Source organism: Homo sapiens, chromosome 16 (genome assembly GCF_000001405.40).
Source record: "Homo sapiens chromosome 16, GRCh38.p14 Primary Assembly".
Lineage (NCBI taxonomy): Eukaryota > Metazoa > Chordata > Mammalia > Primates > Hominidae > Homo > Homo sapiens.
Genome location: NC_000016.10, coordinates 52281029 through 52305945, shown reverse-complemented (window position 1 = coordinate 52305945; position 24917 = coordinate 52281029). Strand labels below are relative to the sequence as shown.

The following is a 24917-nucleotide window of genomic DNA, read 5'->3' as shown; positions in this document are numbered from 1 at the left end:
GATAACCTCTAGTGCAGGTGATAAAGCCTATGGCACTTTCACTGCTTTCCAATGGGAAGGAAACTGGCTACACTCCTGAGGATTCTGGCACACAATATTAAAAGTCTTAACAATGTGCTTGTCTTTCACCCAATGATTTCACATCTAGGATGATTTCATAAAGATAGTTGTATGGAGATATTAGTCACAAAACAAAGTTTAAAGTGGTAAAACCAAACAAAACATCTCAAAAACAGGAAACAATCTAAATGTCCATCAGTAGGAGATTGGTAAAAAATATATATATACGGCCGATGCAGTGGCTCATGCCTGTAATCCCAGCACTTTGGGAGGTCAATGAGGGTGGATCACTTGAGGTCAGGAGTTCAAGACCAGCCTGGTCAACATGGTGAAACCCTATCTCTACTAATAATGCAAAAATTAGCTGGGCGTGGTGGGATGTGCCTGTAATTCCAGCTACTCGAGAGACTGAGGTGGGAGAATCGCTTGAACCTGAGAGTTGGGGGTTGCAGTGAGCTGAGAACCCACCACTGCTGTCCAGCCTGGGCAACAGAGTGAGACTATATATATGAGAGTATTATATTAAATAAAAAAATACCTATCTAAACCTTCTGACATGAAAAGATTCAGAATATATAGCCAAATAAAAGGATGTCTTAAAACATTATGGGCAGTATTATCCCATTTATGTTTGTATTTATGAAGTTATCTATTGTCTATTTTATATTTTTAGAACTTGGAATTATGATTTATAATTACATCATGTCTAATTATATTTGCATACCTATTATGTTGTATATATTTATGTGGACTTAATTAGATTTAGATTTACACATACATGCATATCTTTTCTGAATTTTCATTCACCAAAATTTTAACAATGTTCATACTTGGTGATTTTAGGTGGTAGAACTGTGAATAATATTTACTCTTACCCTCATTTTCTGAATTATTTTCCATGAGTAAGTGTTACTTTTCTAATAAGAAGAAAGCTATTATAATATTTCAAAAGCAAAAAAAATGGAAAAAGAAACATAGTCTTGGGAATGGTCACCATTTTGTGACCTGGACAAGGATCTCTTCTAATGGCCTCTTCACGTATGATGGATGCAATTTTTTTTAACCTGGATGTATCTACTCTGTGTAAGGAGATGAGCTACACCATCAAACGACCCATTTCCTGCTTATATAAGTCATATTGGATTGAGGAATACTGCCTACCACCATAATTTTTCATCTTTTTAGTACTGGCTGCCATTTCTCTAAAAGTAACTATAATTTTATAACAAGTCTGTAGTGATTGGCAGGCCACAAAAGAAAAGAGAAAGGATAGATTGATATTTTAAGTATTAGAAGATTGGAAATCTCTTGCCTTGTATAGTCAAGGCAGAGAATTCTTAGTTTTGTTATATTTTAAAAAACAATAGCTACCATTTATTAAGTGCTTCCTATTTGACATGTGTGGGCTAAGCACTTCCTGTGCAATATCTCATTTCAAACCCTATGAGATCAGTTCAATGTTTATTTTAATTTTATAGTTGAGGAAGCTGATTAAGTGACTTATTGAAGTTCGATAGCTAAAAAGTAGCAGAGTCATTGTTTTGTCTGATAATTAGAGATGATCAGATTCCAGATGGTGTAACAGCTTGATAAATGGAAAGGGGTCAGGTGTAGGGATTAGAAGATCTAGGTCATATTGCCACTAAACCTTGGTAAGTTTCTTCCTCTTGGGTTGTAGCAAACATGGTAAATAGAACATACGTGTATATTTATACTCTGTTACTCACATGGGAGTAAAGGAATAAAAATTATATAACCATGTATCTAGATCTATACCTACAAAGACATAAAATGAGAGAGGAAGGGCTGCAGATAAGAGATGTCACTGTGTTTTTGAAAGACTGAAAGGAGAAGAAAGAATAGTAATTAGCTTAGCAGAGCAGAGAGAGCTGAAATCTAAGTGCTTACAGTATAAGGAGATGATGCAAAGATATTTGCTTTGCATTTTGCATCATGTAAAAGTTCAGAGATCAAAGGCATCCCAAAGACTATGTATTTGTTTATCTATTTGGTTACTTTTCTCAGAATATTTTAATACACTTCGTAGAATTCTTACTTTCCAATGCATTATTTTATGGTTGCTTCATTTTTCTTCCTTTTATTTTTTGTTTCAAATTAAAAAGGTCTGGGATTTTTAAATTATAAAAGTATTATGTTCATATTGAAAGAATTTCAAACAATACAGAAATGTAGAAAGTGATATAAAAAACTTTTGTACACCTCCATCTGATTCTCTAGCTGTGCTACCCTATATGGTATCTACTAGCTACATGTCACTTTTTCAATTTAAATTAATTAAAATGAATTACATTAAAAATAAGTTAGTTGCACTAGCCACATTTTAACTGCTCAAGTCACCTGTGGTTAGTGGCTACTATATTGAACAGTGCAGAAATAGAACATTTTTATTATCATAGAAAGTGTGTTAAAATATTATTCTAGAGATATTCACAGTTAAAAGTTTATTGTGTAAATTTTCAATTTGTTTTCAATTGTACAGAGAAAATAAGGCATCATCATTAGAGATATGCAAATCAAACCACAATGAGATACCATTTCACACCAGTCAGAATGGCTGTTATTTAAAAGTCAAAAAATAACAGATTCTGGTGAGGTTGCAGAGAAAAAGGAATTCTTATGCACTGTTGGTGGGAGTGTAATTTAGTTCAACCATTGTGTTAAGACAGTGTAGTGATTTCTCAAAGACCTGAAAAAAGAAATAACCATTCGACTCAGCAATCTCATTACTGGGTATATCCCCAAAGGAATACAAATCATTCTGACATAAAGACACATGCACGAGTATGTTCATTGCAGCATTATTCACAATAGCAAAGACATAGAATCAACCTAAATGCTCTTCAATACTAGACTGGATAAAGAAAATGTGGCACATAAACACTATGGAATACTATGCAGCCATAAAACCAAACAAGATCATGTCCTTCTTTGCAGGGACATGGATGGAGCTGGAGGCTGTTATCCTTAGCAAACTAATGCAGGAACAGAAAACCAAAAACCACATGTTCTCACTTATAAATGGGAGCTAAATGATGAGAACACATGAACACCCAGAGAGAAGCAACAGGCAGTGGGGCCTCCTGGAGGGTGGAGGGTAGGAGGAGGGGGAAGATCAGGAAAAACAACTAATGGATACTCGGCTTAATATCTGGGTGATAAAATAATCTGTACAGCAAACCTCGGTGACATACATTTTTCTGTATCACAAACCTGCACATGTACCTCTGAACTTAAAATAAAAGTTAAATGAAAAAACAAAAGAAAATGAGGCATCATACTATACATGCTCATGGTTTTTCACAAATAGTCCAGCTGCTTTTAAGGAAAACCAACATTGTCTTGTTCTGTCCCTCCCTGTTCTCACCTCAGCTTCCCAGGAGCACTCACTTAAATTCTAAAAATCAAATTATAGTTGATGCATTATAACAAATTAAATGACATAGACACATAAGAAAATAACTCCTCATCACCTCCAGTTCTACACTATAGAGACAAAATCTACATAACATTTGTTTTTAGTTCTTCTGGCAGCTACTTTCACAACTCCATTGCTTGATTTATCACTCAGTCAATATCTATTAACTCCTTAATATGGAAGATGAGGATTCAGCGTGTTCATGCTGACCTGTCCCCTTGATTTCCTCCTCCTGTTTGAACTTTATATAATTACATTCTATTAGTTGCCTCTCTAACTCTAAATAACATTATTTAACTTCTATTTCTTATTTCCTCCACTTTCCCTTGACTTGCAAAATTTTGATATCATCCCCTAAACCTTCCTTCATCACTTCTTCCCATTTCCAGGTCCCACCCTCTGCTGCCACACTTTGACCAGTACATTGTACATTCTGTCTGCCCATCAACGCTTCCTTTCCTGTGCTTTTCTCATGTAAAAGTCCAAAGCCAATCAGCACATTAATTTGAAATATGTGGCTTGAACTAAATGTATTCCAAGGTCCCTAAATTTGGATATTCTACAATCCATTTAGCTAGATTTGATGTTAGAACATCTGATGTAAACCTGACTCATGGGTGGTGAAGAGTCTTTGTGTGTGTGTGTGTTTGTGTGTGCATTCACACAAGCTCATGTTTGTGTGGGCAAATGCTCTTCCTACTCTAATCATGTGACATGGAAGGTGCATATATAGGAGCTTTGAAGGTCCCTGGGAGACAAGCTACAGCAGTGTGATTCTAATCCCTTTGATTGTATACAAGTTTCACATCCTCGATCTTTGTTCAGACACTGTCTCTCCGGCATGGCCTGAGGGCTGTGGATATCATTTAGCTTTCTGATCTTCCAAAGTGTAAAAGATTCTCTTGACTGAGGTGGAAGCACATGGACTAAAAGGTACAGAGTACAAGATTTCAATCTTAGAGATCTACACGAACACATGGAAGACATCTCTATTACATACACCATGAAAATCGACACAAGTTATTCATAATTTCAATGACCATATTGGATTGCCTTTAATAGACGCTAGTTGAAAGAGGGTACTAACCAAAAGCTAATATTGGAGCTTACTCTCAGGCTGCTGGGAGGCCCCCAAGAATCTCATTGGCAGTCTCTTTTGAGGATCAGTTCCCTACGTCCATTAAACCAAGATTAAATTAGTTTGTGGGAGCTGCTTTTAGCATTTGCACTATTACATTATGCATGATTCCTGACTGCACATCGCATGAACAGACTGCACTGAGCTCCATTAGTGATTTTTTAGGGCTGTGCTTAACTTGGAAATGGATTGATTTTGTGTAGGTTAATGTATAGCAGTGATGTTGCCATGGCCTTAAAAATACGCTCTTATGTTTGATATCAATAGGGAAGCACTCTTTGGGGATTATGGCTCATTTTAAAAGGATAAATTATGTAGATTGCATGATTAGAGAGCAGTAAACCCTGTAACAGTGTATTGTATATCAGGAAAAGCAGTACTCTCTTCCTCCTTGCCTTGGTGAGTTCAGGCTACCTTATTCAATGTGTTTCCTACTAGGACCTTCCCCATGAAGCTAAAATGATATTCCCAGGATTATTCAACAAGTCAGGGCAAAGCCAAGAATTGAATGCATATCTTTTAAATTTTGGTTATGAGAATCAGAAAACTGGATTTTAGGGGCCTTAGCTCATCCTCCTTACTAGAGGGCTACACCTACCTTTCTGGACTTCCCAGAGTCAGACAAGGTGCCTGGGAGGGTATAGGTGTTGGTAAGTACCTGCTGAATTGAATTAATGATTCACCTCCCTCATTTTATAGAGAAGGTGACTGGAACAACGTTTAAATATTTAGCCAAAAAGTACCTTTGCTAAAGTGTACCCTAGGCCAGGCACAAAGGTAAATCAGCCATAGATGCTTGCCTTCTAGGAGCTGAGAGTTCGGGCATGAGGGTGGCATAAGGGGAGAGGCAGGTGGTGCACAGACAATGCCCCTGCACAGTGGCAGAATGCAGCAGGTGCCCTGGGAAGCAAGAGGGTGGTCCTCAGCTTCTTTGGGGTGATGGTATCTGTGGTTAGTCAGGCTAATGATTGGCAGAAAGCATCCAGGCAGGAGTACAGGCTTGAGTCCAAGCACAAAGGGACAAAGCAACCTAGAATGAGCAAGGGTCTACAGGCCATGGTGGGTGGTGGGGAGAGAAATCAGTGTAGGGAGGTGACTGATCAGGGATGAACCTCCTTGCCAGGTGAGCTTACCTTGCCCAGGGACACCTGATATTTCGTGGCAGAAGCAGGACTCAAATTCACTTCTCTTGATTCCCAGAACTGTACCACCCTTTGATGTCATTCTACAAGGCTCCTTCCCCTGCCTCAAGCCTGGAGTGTCTCTTTTGCTGCTTTTACTGAGGGAATTACTGCTGCAGCCCTTTCTTTTTATTGGTATTTTCTAATTAGAAAAATAATATGTGCTATTTTTAAGGGGTAAAAGATGAAAGGAAAAAAAATTATCCACTTGTCTACTTTCCAATCCCAAACTACTAATAAATAATTTCTTTTAAATCCTTCTAGATACATTCTATGAATGTAAGAAGCATGGTAAACAAATGGCATCAGACAATACTTACTGGTCAGTAACTTGCTTTGGTTTATTTAATAACAAAACTCACATATTTTCATGAATGTATAGTTCTGCCTATAATTTTTTAAATTTCTATGTAATATTTCATAGTGTGGGTTGGCTTTAATTTATTTGAATAGTATCATGTTGTTAAGCATTTGAGTTTTTCTCTTATTTAGGTATTTTATATATGCACACACACAAACACATACATACACATAAATACATATATGTGCACACTGTATATATATACACTCTACCATACAATATATATATGTACTCTACACACTATTATACAAAAGGACTTTGAAAAGTTTGTGAAAAAATGGAATTAAAGGATTAAAATATAAAATATAAACTTTATTTCTCAAGATAAGCTGCATCAAAATCAAGACAGTTTCGTAAGTAATGATACTGGCCACTTAGTCGATCCTTAAAGAACTGAGGGTCCTGTGAATTTAACCGCATCAGTGCAGTCTTCTTTACAATATTAACTGAGAAAAAATTGGGGGCCTTTTATGGGTTTTTTTTTAAGATTAGGAAACAAAAAGAAGTCAGAAGTTGCCAAATCAGGACTGTAAGGTGGATGCCCAAAGATGTTCTGTGAAAACTCTTGCAAAATTGCCCTTGTCTGATGAGAGGAATGAGCAGGAACATCATCATGGTGGAGAAGGACCCTCTGGTGAAGCTTTCCTGGGTTTCTTTCTGCTAAAGCTTTGGCCAACTTTCCCTACACACTCTCATAATAAGCAGATGTTACTGCTCTTTGGCCCTCCAGAAAGTCAACAAGCAAAATGCCTCAAGCATCCCAAAGAATGATTGCCATGACCTTTGTTCTTGACTTGTCTGCTTTGGCTTTGAATGGACCATGTCCACCTCTTGGTAGCCATTGCTGTGATTGTGCTTTGTCTTCAGGATGGTACTGATAAAGCCATGTTTTGTCTCCTGCTACAGTTCTTCAGAGAAATGCTTCAGGATCTTAATCCCACTTGTTTAAAATTTCCATTGAAGGTTCTCTTTCTGTCTGTGGCTGACCTGGGTGCAAATGTTTTGTTACCCATTGAGGGAAACTGCTCAACTTTTATTTTTCAGTTGGAATTGTGTAAGTTGGACTAGGTGAGCTGCCTATGATGTTGGCTGTTGTTTCTGCTGTTAATAATCAGTCCTCTTCAATTAGGGCATGAACAAGATAAATTTTTTCCTTGCAAATTGGTGTGGATGGTCTGCTGCTGTGGGCTTCATCTGCAACATCATCTCATCCCTTCTTAAAATGACTTATCCATTTGTAAACTGCTGATTTCTTTGGGGGCACTGTCCTCACAAACTTTTTATAAAGGATCAGTGATTTCCCCATTTTTCCACTTCAGCTTCACCATAAATTTAATATTTTCTTCTTGACTCAATTTTTGCAGAATTCTGTTGCTTTGATGGGGGCTCTTTTCAAATTGATGTCTTATCCTTCTTAGTGCCTCATAGTAGATCCTGTTCAGACATGTTATTACAAGTTAGCATGAGTTTCTTTTGTTGCTAAAAAACTTCAAACTCCATGCATGCATAATTTATTTACAATATGCAGTTTCTTTGAAATTTTTGAAATTCCCTTGTATATATACACCTACTATATGTGTGTAGATATCTATACACAAACATAAACACATAATAGGAAAAGTATGAAACATGGACTATATACATTCAGACTCATGGGAACAGCTGCCTCAAAAGAAAGCATAGGGAGGAAAACATAAGAGACTTCATCTTTACCTGTCATGTTTTATTATCTTAAAATATATATTATCACAAATAAGGTAGATACTTCAATAGTTCTGACATCATCCATTAGATACACTGATAATTATAACAACATCCTTTATAACTTTCTGAATTTTTCAATTCTACAGGTTTCATTTAAAAATACACACATATACAAAGCAGGGTGATATTTTCATCCTATAACACTCACCCTTTTATCTCCTGTAGGTGATTGAAGAAACTGCCCATGGGATCATAACAGAAGCCCCGGTGATAGTCTTCTCAGATTGAACCACAGCACTAATGGAGATTACCAAAATTTATAGGATAAGATTACTGAAATTTCTATGTTGTTTTATCCCATTGAAATCAATGGAAAGCAAAGGACAGGAAAGAGCCAAACAGACAATTTTCCCCTCTCATCTCTATGATATGGTCCCTCCTTACAGTTCTTCTGGAAAAGTCCAGAGTGCCAAGCAAATATACTGACTCTGGGGTCCTGCTGTGCTGCATCGTGGCTCATTGTGAACCAGTGGTCAATCCAGGAGGCCATCTCCATAGATACTTTGCATCATTTCCTTTCCCTCCCCTTCACCACTGGGGACTTACACTTCCCAAATAAAATATCAACAATTCAATCCATATCCCTGCATTCTAGACGCTTAGCACACTCCCATGACCCACATGCTGGTGAGGATGTTGAGTTCATGTGAAGCCTTGGTAATTTTGGTTGGAAACATGTTTCTAGAATCAAGGCAATGTGGTTTGGTCAAATTCAGATGAGATTGTGGAGCCGCGTGTCCTAGATTCCAGCTTTGGCTCTAGACCTTATAAACCAACCCTGTGGCCTTTTATCTCTCTCATCAGTCTAATGGAAATCATATTACCTGCCTTCCTTATCTGGAAATGTCATCATCAGGATCAAGAGAGATAAGGTTTGAGAAAGTAATGTGTAAGCCATTAAGTAGTACACAGATGACCATTACTGCTGTCAAACAGGAATTTGATGCAATGAACTCTGTTCCCCTTTTCTGTCAATACAAGTTCAGTGTTAAACATTTATACAGTTGTGAAAACTTCAAGTAAGTTGCGTGTGTTTTTTGGCTTTTATACAAATGATATTTTACCAGAGCAGTGGTCAAAAAACTATGACCCACAGGTGAAATTCTAAAGGCAGTCCTTTTTGTAAACAAAGTTTTATTGGAACTCAGCCATGTGCATTTCTTTACATATTGCCACAGCCACTTTCACACTACCAGGGCAGAGTTGAGTATTTTCAGTTGTGACAGAGACTGTCTGGCCCAAAAGCTGAAAATATTTACTATTTGGCCCTTCATAGAAAACGTTTGCCAATGCCTCTGCTAGAGGAAATGCTAGATACTGTGTCCCTTTCAGTTAACACTATATATGAGAGCTATGGTCTTCAAATTTTATGTCTGCAACATAATCCACTGGGGTCAACAAAAAAATATTTTCATTTTTATTTTTCATCTCATTCTTTTTTATTTTCATCTAGTATATACTTTAGAAGGTATAAAATATACTAGTATGATTGAACATGTATATAATTTATAAATAAAACACACATAAATAATTATATTACAGTTACATGTGTCACTAAATGTGTACAATTTAGCCATGTTACTCCATATGGATCTAGCTGTTTTGCCTGAACGCTTTGCATGGAGCTGCATTATTTGAATTCACCATAGTGTAAGTATCAATTCCCCTTCCAGTAATATTTGGGCCACTCCCAGTCTTCAGCATTGCAAACAATGATGCAGTGAACACGCATGATTTGCTTTTGTCCAGACTCATGGCTACTTGATAAAGCCTGGTGATAGGAACTCATTCTGACCTTGTCCAGGTTGGAGAACTGCATACAGCTAGTCAAATGCAGACCCAGACACAATTGGGCCATTGCTACATTATTCTTGGCTGACTGCAGATGTGCTTTATCTGCCTTGATGACAAATGCATTACACTGAACATTTTCATGTGTTTCAGAAGACAAAGGGGAAAAAAGGTCTCAAAGATTTCAAACACATAGAAATCTATAGGAAGGAAAAACAAACTAATCTGAGGTGCCTCTGACTCTCCCTACTTCTTCCCTGTCTCCATTGTTCTCTGGCATCAGCAAAACCTTCTCCCTGGCACTTTGCAGGGAGAACTCCCCTCACCCCTTTCCAGCCCACCCATGGTGGCTGACTTTTGTGCCCTCGAATTTGACTATACCTTTTCCTGCCTTGTGTATCTTAGATTTTAATGCAACATTCTGGAAGATCTTAGAACCTGTACTCTGATCTGAATTATTAAAGCAGGTCAGTGCTTATGCACTTAGAAGTAATATTTTTCTTCAAACATCCTCTGTGATATGGAAAAAGGTAATATTGCAACCAAGAGTTGCTTGCATAGATGGACATTCCTTTCATTCCCTCTTTTGTTCATTTTTTGGCAGTTTCTTCATTCTCTCTCTCTCTCTCTCTCTCTCTCTCTCTCTCCAGTAATATTTACTGGGCTCTGAGACAAGGAGAAGTCTATGACCTGTAGGAATTGATTGAACTGATTCACATCAACTATATAAACATCGTTTTTTCCTTCTTGGCTTTTCAGTTTTAGGTTGATTTGACCAAAGTCATTTCCATCCTTAGCATTGAAAGTGAAATGCTGATTTGACCTGCAGGGCCAATGCTTTAGCCACCAAGAAACTGTAAGCTCCATAAGGGCTTGTTTTAGTCATTATTGGAACCCTATACATAGCACATAGATGTCCAACAATATTCACTAAATGGATGAATAAATGAATGACCAAGGACTGAGGTGCAAGGTAGCTATAACCCAGCACTTGGGGCCATTCAGATTCAGTGTATAGGAGGATTCCTAAGTGAGAGATTCCTCAACCAAAAAACTTGGGCACTAGAGTGTGAAGAGATTGGAGGATCATCCTTCATTGATCAGATTATATCTTTGATGTTGAGTTGCTAAAATGATGGGATAGTTTTTACACACAGCGTTTACTTGAGAATTAAATTGAAAATAAGAAGAGCCATCTTGGTGTTTTGATTCAAAACATGAGCATTAGAGTCCAAAGTTCTCCCATTTACACTGAGTCTTTAGGCATGACCCTTTACTATTTGAGCTTCAGTTTGCTCATCTATAAAACAAACAAAAACAATGTTTATAGGTTGTTTGTGATGATTAAATAAAACGATTATTGCACTCTTGGATGATGAAACAGACTGTAAATGTAAAAGAGAATGTGAATTCCTTTCTCCGTTTTTTCCTCTTTTCCTTTTACCCAAGATGATTTGGTTATTGGAATGTTGAAAAGTCTTTAAAGGATGGCACAGACTTAAATGACTGTTATAGAGCTAAGTTTTGATATATTTGGCTCAGGAGATTTTGAACTAAAAACATGGCAGTTTTAGCATGGATGATGAGAAATTTCTAAGAGCGAGATTATTTTGCTTGTTAAAAAGAATTGAGCTTCTCTTCATGATGTTACCTTCATAGATCCATATGTTGAAGACCTAAACCCAGTTACCTGTGAATGTGACCTTATTTAGAAATGAGGCCTTTGCTGCTATAATCCAGTTACGATTAGGTCATACTGGATTAGGGTGGCCCTAAATCCAAGGAGAAGTGTCCTTAGATTGAGACTTGGTGACACAGAGATGCTCAGGGAGATGACCATGTGAAAACAGAGGCAGAACTGGTTACACTGCCACACCCAAGGAACACCTGGGGTTACTAAAAGCTGAAAAGGGGGAGACTCTAGTCTTTAGAGAAAGTATGATCCTGCCACTACATTGATTTTGGACTTGTAGCCAACAGAACCATCAGATAAAAAATTCCTGTTGTTTCAAGCCACCCAGTGTGCTGTACTTTGTAACCGAAGCCCTAAGAAACTAATACAATGCAGTACATAAAGTATTCATAATTTTATAAACGTTTAACACTTGTGTTGAAAGAAAAGGGCAACAGAGTTCATTGCACCAAATTCCTGTTTGACAGCAGTAATGATCATCTGTGTACTACTTAATGGCTTACACATTACTTTCTCAAACCTTATCTCTCTTGATCCTGATGATGACATTTCCAGATAAGGAAGGCAGGTAATATGATTTCCATTAGACTGATGAGAGAGATTAAAGGCCACAGGGTTGGTTTATAAGGTCTAGAGCCAAAGCTGGAATCTAGGACACGCGGCTCCACAATCTCATCTGAATTTGACCAAACCACATTGCCTTGATTCTAGAAACATGTTTCCAACCAAAATTACCAAGGCTTCACATGAACTCAACATCCTCACCAGCATGTGTGTCATGGGGGTGTGCTAAGGGTCTAGAAGGCAGGGATATGGATTGAAGTGCTGATATTATATTTGGGAGTGCAAGCCCCCAGTGGCAAAGGGGAGGGAAAGGAAATGATGCACCATTGACAAAGATGAGTCCCTGGATTGACCACTGGTTCACAATGAGCCACGATGCAGCACAGCAGGACCCCAGAGTCAGTATATTTGCTTGGCACTCTGGACTTTTCTAGAAGGACTGCAAGGAGGAACCACATCATGGAGAAGAGAGGGGGAAATTGTCTGTCTGACTCCTTCCTGGTCCTTGCTCCTAATTGGTTAATGTTCACTCCATGATGAACTGACTCTTCTTCCATCCACTTCCTGGTGACCTCAGCTGCCCTCTGCAGCTATAAATATACCTTTCAGAGTGAGGAGAGAGGGTTGTACTGCTTATGTATGCTCAACTTAGTGATAGGATTTTTTATTAGAGGATTTTTCTCCTCCCTGTCCACTAAAATGATTTTGCAGAAATGATAAGAAAATCGACCACAGTTCTCTGAGAGCCTCATGTTCACAAGGAAGATGGAAAAAAAGAAATGTTTTTGAGTCTCTGGCCAAAGACAGCGAACAATCAAGAGCCACTCACATGTTAAGAGTTTGTGGGCCCTCTGCTAAGTGTCCAACATGCATTCTCTCATTGTCATCACTATTATGAAATAGGCACCTGAATTTTCTAGATGAGTAACTGAGGCTTCGAGATGAGTAATTTGAGAAAACTAACTGAAGGAATATGTTGTCGAGCTCAAAAGTTGTGCCCAGCTTATCTGCCATCAAAATCAGAGTTCATAAACATAGTATTATACTACCTGATAATTATCATATTTCATTGTATCTAAGACCTCACTGATTAAAGGGAAACCAGTATGTTATGTAGGATTAAGACACTTAAAGAAAAAGACTGCCAATTACATAGGCTCACTGCTTTCTTATCACTCAGAACTTTTACTTTTTGCCTCATAAAACATTTATTTTAAACACATTTGGACACACTTTTATTAGAAAGGTGAAATATAAATGAAATAAATGTGTTGGGATATTCCTAAAACCTTGACTTTTTACCTATTAAAATTTAGTTAAAACTTATTTAGACACATCTTTGTAGAAAAAGAAATAAAAGTGAAATTCATTTGTTGGGACATTCTTAAAACACCTGCACTTTTGAATACTGTTTCACCTGGGTTGTCAGTGTCTGCAAGTTCGCTACCACTAAGCACCTTGGTGATGAACTGTAGGAGAATTTGCTATTGTCTCAGAATTTTTTTTTGCAAGCCATTGCAAGCCATTCTGCACATGTCGATGCCCATATGCAGACAGTGACAACTCCCTCATGACTGACACCTGGCCAACAGTGATTATGATATGCATTCCAATTTCCGGGAGGTGAAAAGGTGAAAATACTCATTGTAGAATCTATGAAGTATAGAAATTTTATCCCTGGTCATAATGTCGATGTTAACTTCCATTTAGAATTAAATGTTTTCCTCTCATAACCTGGGGGATTTCTGCTAGCTGTATAGGCTTCTTTGGGGGAAATAATGTAGAACATTTTCCTATTGTTGGTTTCAGTAATCCCAGCCACAGCATTAATGAATTGGATTATTGCATAGGCAAACTCAACTCCCTCCATTCTTTGCAAGTTATGAGATTTAACTGTGTTTGAGAAAGTTTCTGGCAAAAACTCCTGGGCTTTTAACTTATGTGGAGTTTTAAGTACAATTCATCATCTTATCTAATCTGATATCCAAGGATAGCTTTGTCAAAGCAGAGTCAAGTATTGGCAATCCCTCAGAAATCTCTGAAGAATGAATAAAAGAAAAATGATTTAAAGCTGAACGCTTTAAGTAGGAGTTTGAAATCTTGTTAAAAACTGAACAACGGACCCCTTCTTGAGTCTGCTAATGCCAGCTTTGGAATATGAATAGAAAACCAAACTCTGAGAGAAGAGATGGATCTTGGATATCATCATGTCTACTGTAAGAAGTGTATCCAGCTCCATCCTGGGCAGATAATAATAGAATGTGTTGATTCCATGGGAGATTTCACACAAGAACGAACAAATTCTCTAACCTGTGGTAACCTGCTCAGTGCCTCCCTTCCTCCATAGAAAATGATCCCAGATTTTGGTTGGTATTATTTATATTTGACCTTGGAAGATATGGAGGAATACAACATTGTCCCACATGTAGCAAAGGCATTGCATAGTGTGAGGGTTAAAAGTATGGGTTCAGACCCAGGTTTGAATCTCAACTTTGGTGCTTATTAGCTGTTTGACCCTGGGGAAATTCTGTAACCTTTCTGTGCCTTTGTTTTCTCATATGTATAGTGGAGAAAATAGCTGTGTCAATTGAATGGTATAGTTTTGAGGACTGAATGTTAACAGTTGTTAAGCCCTACCTCATAGGAGGTGAACCTGATAGGTAACTTTTTTCTTTTTCTTTTCTTTTTTTTTGAGACGGAATTTCGTTCTTGTTTCCCAGGCTGGAGTGGAGAGGCATGGTCTTAGTTCACTACAACCTCAGCTTCCTCCATTCAAGCCATTCTCCTGCCTCAGCCTCCTGAGTAGCTGGGATTATAGGCGCATACCACCACACCCGGCTAATTTTTTATTTTTTTAGTAGAGACAGGGTTTCATCATGTTGGCCAGGCTGGTCTTGAACTCTTGACCTCGGATGATCCACTATCCACCCACCTCAGCCTCCCAAAGTGCTGGATAGGTACTTTTTAAATAAAACAAAAGTAACAACTGCTCTCATTAATTCAAGTTCTATATAAACTAAATTGGGGTCCTTTATTATGTTACATACACATTGCTTTCTTCAGTTTCTAAAGAAGAACAGTGAATTGGCATCACTGGACTATTTTTCCTTCTTTTGGACTATTCTTCCTTCAGATGTTATCTACCTCAGAAGATATAATTACATGTTTTTCCTAAATTCTGATACATGGAAATGAGAATTTTTCTTCTTTAAAATAAGTCAGTACAATTATAGTGGCCATTCCAGTTGCCTAACTGATATTTTAATTGAAAACATAAGTCACATCCAAGGAAACAACACATTCACTCACTGAATATGGAATGAGGGTCCATCAATAAATAGATAACATGTATATGAATACAATATGTATATTTGATTTTCTTTTTGGTTGACTTTGAGTTTGTGCTTCTTACTCCATCAGGACAGAGAGAACTTGCAGGGTCTTCTGGCAAAGGCAACTTGGACATTGCATTAAAAAAGAAAAAAATACCGAGCACCAAAGTCTGAGCTCTTTACCACAGGACTTAAAGCTCTTCCCTGCAATGCTCTGTTATTAGTGGGACTCAGCCCCACCCCAAGGGTTACTTCCCTCTATCCTGTTATCTTTCTGCAAAGTCCTTTTTAGATTTGGATTTCTGATGGAGAGAATCTGTATGCCCAGAATGCTTTTCTTTCAGTCAAGCTGCATATTAGGCCTTCAGCCAGCCTTGCCCCAACCATAGATAGCCCCTCGTGGGAACCACCCAGTGCTGGCCCCATGACCAGGGCATGAACAGAGGCCATGTATGCATTGATTGGAGCATAAAAGGCAAAATTTCCTATAGTAGCAAGCAGATTGACGTGTCTGGTGCGGATCCTCTGTGCCTCCTTTACTCGTTCATGTAGGCAAAATTGAGCAAGTCATGATGAGCACATTTCTTTATTCTAGAAGTTTCCTATTCTCAACTCAGAATTTTCAACCTAGATTTGCAGTAGAATATGGTCTCCATCAGAGCAAGGACACCATGGGACTGAGTCAGCCCTCTTTACCTCCGTATCCCCAGTGCCTTTCACATTGCCCATGAAGGACCCTCACTCCATATTTAATGAATGACTGTGTTGTTTCTCTGAATGTGACTTATGTTTTCAACAAAAATATTGATTATGAAACCGGAGTGGCCACCGTAATTGTACTGATTTAGTTTAAGGAAAGAAAGAATAAAAGGGAAGTGAAGGTTGCAGTGAGCCGAGGTCGCACCACTGCACTCCAGCCTGGGTGACAGAGTGAGACTCTGTCTCAAAAAAAGAAAAAAAAAGAGGGGGGGAAGTGAAATGGAGGAAGAAAAGGGAAAAGGAAAGGAAGAAATAAAGGCCCCAGTTTCTTTAGAGTTGGGAATGACTTCCTACTTGTTTAAATGGTTGGCTGTGGTCTGGACCACACTTACGTGCTGAGTCGTCTAACACCTCGACCTACCTAGTAACTGCCAAGAAATTCATGCTAGTTGGAAAATCCATTGGATTATAAATGCAAATGAGTATCCAAAGTGTTCTTGTTTTTTTCCTCTTTTAAAAAAGTTTAATAGTAATGATTGCCTATCAAAAATCTTTTACCTCAAACAATAAAAATTGCAACAAAATGAAAATCTCCTTTTTGCTTCTTGCCTCATACTCTCTCTCAGTTCTTTAATGTAGCCTCTGTTAATAGGTTGGTATGTGTGGTTCCAGTATATTCTTCTAAAATAGAACACAAATATAGGGGTGTGTGTGTGCATTACAGATTTACAAGAATCTGACATGTTTATTAAGCATAGATCTCAGAACACACACTCAAAGGATACATTTCTTTTTTTTCAATAAGTGAACATGATTTGCCAGTGAACAGGAAACTCAATCACTGAATATGGAGTGAGGGTCCATCATGAAATGTCCCCCAGCTCCCAAGAGTTCTACCAAGGCCAAAAGGTCTTATGAGGCATTCATAAGATATTTTCCATGATGATTTACATCATGGAAACTCCTGGGGTCTTTTCTTTACCCAGGTTCCTGCTGAGATGTCCATGGTCTCTGTTTATACGGTCCTTTCCAGAAAGTCTTGAGAAAGCCTTTCTTGGTGGTGAGGACACATGAGTGGGCAAAAGGAATGGTGATATGTCATCTAAAAAGGCATTACATCCTACATGTATTTATATTGTTTCAGGAGAACCAGAAATGAGCATATCACAGCACATATCAGTATAAAAACTAATTACAGTGAACCTAGAAAACTATCCTCATACTAACTATGAAGTTACATTGGTCATTTTATCATTTCTTTTGGATAGTGAAGTAATAGATTTCAATAAGCACAAGGAGAAAGCTGAATAAGCCTCGTATCTGGTTCAGGATCCATGTGTATGAAGCTCTTTGCTAATGAATGAATCCTTTTTAGTGGTGCTCAGAACTAAGCTGCATAATTCAATATAGGCACAAAAATATCCAACATGGAGTGAATCATTACTTGAATTGTGAGAAGGCACTGTCTGCCTTGTAGAGTGACTTCTAGAGTCTCCTCATTATGCTTTCTCTCCCTTTCCTCATTACTTCACAGGTGTACTGATTAGGTTTGCACCTTTCTATTTTCTTTTCCTTCTGTTTGTTCCACTCTTTGTCCATATTTTCCTAACTGCAGCAGATGTTCAGTCCACCCCTTTGCAAGGGATGAAATTTCTTAATGAAACAATTGTTGATAAGGACCCGGGCTCTTCACACACTGTCAATAACTGTCTTTGAAATTTAAAGGAGAAGCATGAACCTTGTGAGCTTGGATGAGACAACTCGCTTTGCAATTTAAGCTGATTGGTTTGAACAATGTGTTTGAGGCACTGAAGGAGGGGGTAGCTTGATTCATTTCACATCACATACTCAACTCGAGTTCCATCCAATTTCTGGGTCTTCAGCTAAGTCAAGGAACTTTTAGAGATCCAGGACTTACAAAGTACATGTGCAGTCCAGGAACATTCATCATGTTATCTTATCTGATAGTGCTGCTTCCCCTTCTGTTCACCAAAATAGAAAAGTCAGTGCATGTGGGTGATGTGCCCTTGGTACTGCAGTATAAGACATTTGGTCAAGTTGACAGGCACTGTTGGGTGTGAGAAGTCAGTTTTATCTTTCAGCTTCTAACATTTCTATCAGTTGAAAGTGCAGCTGCAATCTGAAATCTCAATATCCATTTAGGTAACATGTCCACCTCTAAAATTTGTATTACAGTAACTAATAAACCTGGATATCAATTAAATTCTGTGCTAAGGGTCAAGGAGGAAAAGGCAAGACATTGGAATGCTTCATCTCTTGAGTGTATCATCCTGGTGGCTCTTTATAATTATCAACTCCAATCTTTTCCTTGATCATAGATGTAAGGTTATGGAATTCTGACACATTTGTAGCCTGTGGAACTCTTATTTGACATATAAAACTCCCTATATTTAATGTATACACCATAGCCAGTTTGGGGATAATTATACACCTATGAAACCTGTATTAGTCTGTTCTCGTGCTGCTAATAAAGACATACCCAAGACTGTGTAATTTACAAAGAAAAAGAGGTTTAATGGACTCACAGTTCCACACGGCTGGGGAGGCCTCACAATCATGGCAAAAAGCAAAGGAGGAGCAAAGGCAAGTCTTCATGGCGGCAGGCAAGAGAGCATGTGCAGGGGAGCTGCCCTTTTATAAAATCATCAGATCTCATGAGACTTATTCACTATCATGAGAACAGCACAGGAAAAACCCACCCCCATGATTCAATTACCTCCCACAGGGTCCCTTCCATGACATGTGGGGATTATGAGAGCTATAATTCAAGGTGAGATTTGGGTGGGGGCACAGCCAAACCATATCAAATCCATTACCACCTTTAAAGCCATAGACCGATCCATCACCTCTCAAAGTTTTCTCCCACCTCAGCTTGTGGTGCTTTCTTTCTTTTTTCTTTTATAATTTCAACTTTTATTTTAGATTCTGGGGATACAAGTGCAGGTTTCTTACATGGGCATATTTTGGGTATGAATGATCTTTTCACCCAGGTAGTGAGCATAGTACCCAATCAGTAGTTTTTTAACCCTTTCTCCCCTCCCCCCTTCCCCTCTAGTAGTTTCCAGCATATGTTGTTCTCATCTTTATGTCCATGTGTACCTAATGCTTAGCTCCCACTTATAAGTGGGGACATGTGGTATCTGGTTTTCTGTTCCTGCATTAATTCACTTAGGGTAATGGCCTCCAGCTGTATCTACATTGCTGCAGTCAACATGATTTTATTATTTTTTGTGGCTACATAATATTCCATGGTGTATATGTACCACATTTTCTTTATCCAGACCACCGTTGATGGACACCTGGGCTGATTTCATCACTTTACTATTGCAAATAGTGCTGCAATAAACATACAAGTGCATGTGTCTCTTTGATAGAATGATTTCTTTTCTTTTGGATACATACCTAGTAATGAATTGCTGTGTTGAATGGTAGTTCTGCTTTAAGTTCTTTGAGACATCTCCAAACTGCTTTCCACATTGGTCTGCTTATCAAGTGATGACTTTTCTTATTTTTTAATCTTGGACCAGAGCCTAGAGATAGAACATTTTCTCTCTTTTTTTCTCATTGCTTTTTCTAGACCCTTTCTTCTTCCCTAAATACCATTTCCTTTGAGATGCATGCTGTCAGCACAACTTCTCTTTGATACAGTCATCTATTAATGTTCGAGCCACTCCACATCCCATTTTTTGACAGTTTAAACAGCTCAATAGGTCTCTCACATAGTCACATGTTTATTAATTGGGGAATATTCTGTATCTACAAGAATGATCCATCCAACCTGTTGACATCTCACATTCTTTCTTCTCCCCCTTCCAAGGGTCATTTTCCTCCACAGTGCCTGTTTAACCATCTATTTCTGTGATATTACCCCAGAATTCTAAGCTCATTCCCATTCCTTTCATTTATATGGGATATTTTCTCCAGACCTCTCATGACGTGTTCTTTCAATTATTCAGGCCTCTGTTAAAATGAAACTTCCTTAGAAAGCCTTTTGAAGTATCCTAAGATAACCATCCTATCCTAACTCTCTTTCCTCCCTTTCTCTCATACTGCTTCATTTCTTCCCTATACCTTTTATTAGCATCTTGACCATACATTATAGAGGAGAACGTTTCCTGTCTCTTCCTATAATGTATGTCCATAAGATAGGATTTTATCTGCTTGTTCACCACCATGTTCCTTGCACCGAAACACTGTCAATTCATATTAGACTCTACATAGGTATTGAGAATGAAATAATGAATAGATTATGTGTGTTTATAGCTATGTACCAATTTACCATGAACACTTTCAGGCCATTAATGAATTATCACCCCATCTCAATCCTCATACGGTAACTTTTCTATATTAAGAGCATTCCTGGGAATAATTTCCATCAGAATTTTTATAATTCCCCACTTGAAATTTTTCTGAAGTGTTCTAATTAATCCAATAACATTCATAGCTTATGCTGAATTGCTGTGTAGATTCCTCTTGGGAGGAATTTTGAAACAGGCAGGCCAGCTCTTTATAATATTTCTAGCATAAGTTTTGATAATTCTTTTGCTGCTGGATGAGTAAAATTGCATTGTTATCAAAGGTGAGGGAACATGGGTCATTCTTGTGAATAAGAAGATTTATTGCTTGCTTAATTTTCGAGGAAATACCTTTAGCTCCTTCTTAAACTATGGGTCTATGCGTCAGTAGCTTTTCCTGTGTTTATGTAGCAGCTTTATTCATAGGCCTGATGTTTAGCCTCTTCTGGGGAGTTCTGAGATTCTGCATCAGAAAAACGCTCTGCTTTGTGTACAAAGATGATCTGTTGACCTGCCACCACAAGGCTCTTGCTGGGCTGTTTCACTGAGGTGGGAATGTCTTAAAATGGTTTTCTAAGGCATTAATAATTCTTTTCTGATTTTTCTTGTGATCAGTGGCCTGAATTTGCAATATGTCTGGCAGTACCCAAAGACACAGACCAATGCTGAAAAAAAAAAAAGACTTCCCCTTCTGCAAACCTAGTTAAACTTCATATAGACTTCAGCCTCATTAACTCCTTTTTTTTTTCTAAGCAATTCTGTAGCACACTCTTAAGATTAAGATTAAGATGCACCGAGTCCAGGAGTTTGAGACCAGGCTGGCTAATGTAGTGGGACATCATCTCTAAAACAAACAAACAAAAAAACACAAAAAACAAAAAACAAATTAGTCAGGCATGGTGGCATGTGCCTGTAGTCACAGCTACCTGGGAGGCTGAGGTGGGAGGATCACTTGAGCCCTGGAGGTTGAGGATGAAGTGAGCCATGATCATGCTACTACACTTTAGCCTGGATGGTGGAGTGAGATCATGTCTCAGAAGAAAAGATAAAACAATAAAAAATAAAAAATAAAAAGCTCCAGTGAAGGCCTTCCCTAAGGTAACCTCCTCTGAAACTTAATTTTATATTTTCACAAAACCATAAGGTCTCTGAACTTGAGTAGGAAGGCTTCTTCCTATACTTTGTCATAGTTCATATTCAACAAATGCTAAAGAATTAAGTACATAAAGAAAAAAAATTGGAGGTGAAGAGAGAATGCATTGTTTTTTCTTCACTGAGAGAGAATCTTTTTATGTTCTTTGAGAACTTCCTTGGTAGAAGTTTAAAAAGTTCCAACTGGGAACCTCTCTGCCTTAAACAAGAATCACTGGCCTGGTGAGTCAGGTAAGATATTGATAGCACAAATTTCCATGCAAATGTGAAGGGGAAATGCATGCATATTAGCACCCCTCCATGATTATTCTGAAAAAAAGAGAGAATGACTCACTGAAGCAGAGAGAGCAAAAAAGAGCTAAGTGGGTTATGTTTTGGTTAGAAACTGTTTGGTATTAAATATGAGAAATATAAGAATATAGAATTTATTAAAAACAATTCTTGTGAAGTCTGTATGGTTTTCTTCATTTTCCTAAGAGTATGTACTAATAATAGAAATTATTTTCAGACTTTTTTTGATTATTGTTATTTTATTGAATATATGTTTGTATCCTGTGGGGCCCTGTTTCACGTGGCTTGCCTATTGTGACTCATCACTGATGTGATGGGAGGACCACGTAGGCTGGCTCTGGATGTTCCAGTAATCAGAGAAGACTTCCTGGAAGGGACGGTATTTTACCCAGGCCTTGAAGGATGGGTGGACTATGAATCATTAGAGATGACAGACAGAGTTTCCAGATGGAACCAATGATTAAAGTGACCAAGAAGGTAAGCATCAGGGAGCAGGGAAGAGCTCAGTGTGGCTGGAATCTTTTGCCTGGAATGTGTCCTTTACACCTGATCATCATGCGGACACTCACACACACACACTCCAACACCTTCACCTGGTGAACCTCACTCATCCTCGAAGTGTTAGTTTAGGCTCCACTCCCTCCAGGAAGCTTTCCCTGATTTCTCTCCACACAGTGCTATGTGAGGGGCTCATGATGTAAACTCAGGGGGACCCAGAGCTTCTATTATCAGAGCACTCATCACCTAATAATGCCAGTGCCCATTACCTCTCATTTCCAGGAGGACAGACAACTCTTATTTATTCTTATATTTCCCCAACATCTATCACAGTACCAGGAATATAATAAAACCTTAATAATTGTGTGTGTTTGTGTGTGTGTGTGTGAGAGAGAGAGAGAGAGGGAGAGAGAAAGAGAGAGAGAGAGACAGAGAAAGAGAGAGAGACAGAGAGAGAGAGAGAGAGAGAGAGAAAACGGGGTAGAGAATACTTCTGAAACAAATCCTGAGAGACACAGCACGGAAGACACTGGTCTTCTTACCTGCCAGGTGAGTCAAGTGTTCAGTCATAAGCTCCCATTGTTGGAGGGAGTCTTTAGAAAAATCTAAATCATCCCCTTATTGTAGCAGACAGAGAGTTGAGGATAGAGGTAATGAGAAGGAAGGTATCTAAGAAAAGCACACAATTTGCGCCAGTTGGATCACTCTATTGGTTACCCCTCTGGTGCATTTTCCCCTGTCCCATGTGGTTACTTTGCAAATAAACAATGTAGCATTATTTTTATTTAAGAGCCAGAAGTTTGCAATCCAAGATGCAAAAAAACTGAAGAAAAAAACCATGGCTAAAATGTCATGCCCTGAAGCATAGCTAAGTCTCACAAAGGTGACAGAATTAATTTGCTTGGAAATATTAAATATAGAATCCAGTCAGCAAACTTCTGTCACTTCTTGCTCCACAGTCTATTGTCACTGTTGTCAATCACAGCTGCTCCATCCCTCGCCCACTCACGTTTATATTGAGTGCACCTGTATGACTTTAAGGTACAAGGAGCCATAATAATAAGGGATTTGGAGTAAAGTTTTTCTCGCACTGAATACATAAACCCAGTAAAATATTGGTTTAAAATAAGAGACTGACGGGTGATGAATACCTTAATCGTATTGGTGAATATATCAATCAGCTCTACAAAAAGATGTGGTCTTTTAATTTTCTTGTGAGTTATAAGAGCAAACAGATAATATGAAATTGAGACTTCACAGGATCTTCCATGTCTATTCATCCAACACTAATTTAACATGATAGGTCCTTGGGGTGTGGCAGTAAACAATAGACATGGCCATTTACTCTAGGACATCACTGTGTGATGGATGGATGGATGGTGAATACATAATCATAAATGTAACCATTTGTTCCTGCAGGTGCTGGAAGGAAACATGCAGACATCCCAAGGATCCACGATGGCAGAATCCATTTTCATGTTCAGGCAAGGGCACCCTCCTAAGGCAATTACTCTTAGGACAGTATATTTGTTAGGGTTAGCTAGAGAAACAGAACCAATAAGATGAGATAGATAGATAGATAGATAGATAGATAGATAGATAGATAGATAGATAGAGCGAGCGAGCTAGATAATAGATATTTAAAGGAATTGGCTCATACAATTGTGGAGGCTTGGTAAGTTCAAAATCTGCAACTCTATGTTAGTTTGCTAGGGTTGCCATAACAAAATATGACAGTCTGGGTGCCTTAAACAACAGAAATTTAGAAATTTATTTTCTCACATTTGTAGGGGCTAGAAGTCCAAGATCAAGCTGTCAGCAGGTTTTTTTTTTTCTTTTTCCTGAGGACTCTCTCTTTGGTTTGCAGATATCTGTCTTCTCACTCTGTACTCACATGGGCTTTTCTGTGTGTGTGTGTGTGTGTGTGTGTGTGTGTGCGCGCGCGCGCGCATGCACGTGCGTGCCTGCATCCCTGGGCATCTCTTTGTATGTCCAAATTTCCTCTTCTTGGATGAACAGCAGTAAGATTGAGTAAGGAACCATACCAGTGGCTTCATTTTAACTTAATCACCTTTTAAAGACCTTGTTTTCAAATACAGTTTCATTCTAAACTACTGGGGTTTAGGGCTTCAGTGTACAAACTTTGGGGGGAACACAATGAAGCCCATAACAGATAGGACCTGATGGGTAAGTAAGGTTTGCACTGGTGTGTTCTGACAGTGAGACTCATCACAGGCACATTCTCTGTGGGCACTCAGGATGCATTCTGTCTGGTCAAAGTGCAGCATTCACTGTGATGATGAGCTCCTGGTGAATCTATCCAAGGTACAAAGGAGATGTGGAAAGAAGGTCCCTTTTTCCCAGAGAGAACAAAATCTTAAAATGCCCTCCAGCCTCTGGCTAGTGCAAACCTGTTGAAGTTATTTTAACCCATATATTTCTAAAATGAGCTTAGGAGATAAGGATCATTGTTGCCCCTGCCTTGGCAATGAGGCAAGTCTAATGGTTAAGTAACTCATCCAACATCATATAGCTAATCAGGTGGGGAGCCAGGATCTCTAACCACTACACAAGAAGGCTTGTCTCCAGGCCAGAGCTCAAGATCAGCAGAGTATGAGCAAGGAAGGGTGTGTGGTGAGAG

At 38.5% G+C, this 24917-nt stretch overlaps 1 long non-coding RNA gene across 3 annotated transcripts in view, besides 1 other annotated feature; it reads left to right on the top strand.

The window, feature by feature from the left end:
• Nucleotides 1-8939, top strand: part of LOC107984901 (uncharacterized) — an 86734-nt gene extending 77795 nt beyond the window's left edge. For all 3 annotated transcript variants that reach the window (XR_001752185.2, XR_001752186.1, XR_001752184.1), the window contains 2 exons: nucleotides 6080-6137; nucleotides 8106-8939. This is a non-coding gene — a long non-coding RNA (uncharacterized LOC107984901). The remainder of the gene's footprint in view (nucleotides 1-6079; nucleotides 6138-8105) is intronic.
• Nucleotides 7136-8335: an enhancer, noted in NCBI's record as "MED14-independent group 3 enhancer chr16:52331523-52332722 (GRCh37/hg19 assembly coordinates)". NCBI's record gives its function as "activates an origin of replication core promoter dependent on BRD2, BRD4, P300/CBP and CDK7 cofactors, and independent of MED14, by STARR-seq in HCT116 cells {active_cell/tissue: HCT116}" and the evidence as "EXISTENCE:reporter gene assay evidence [ECO:0000049][PMID:35650434]".
• Nucleotides 8940-24917: the final 15978 nt, after the last annotated feature.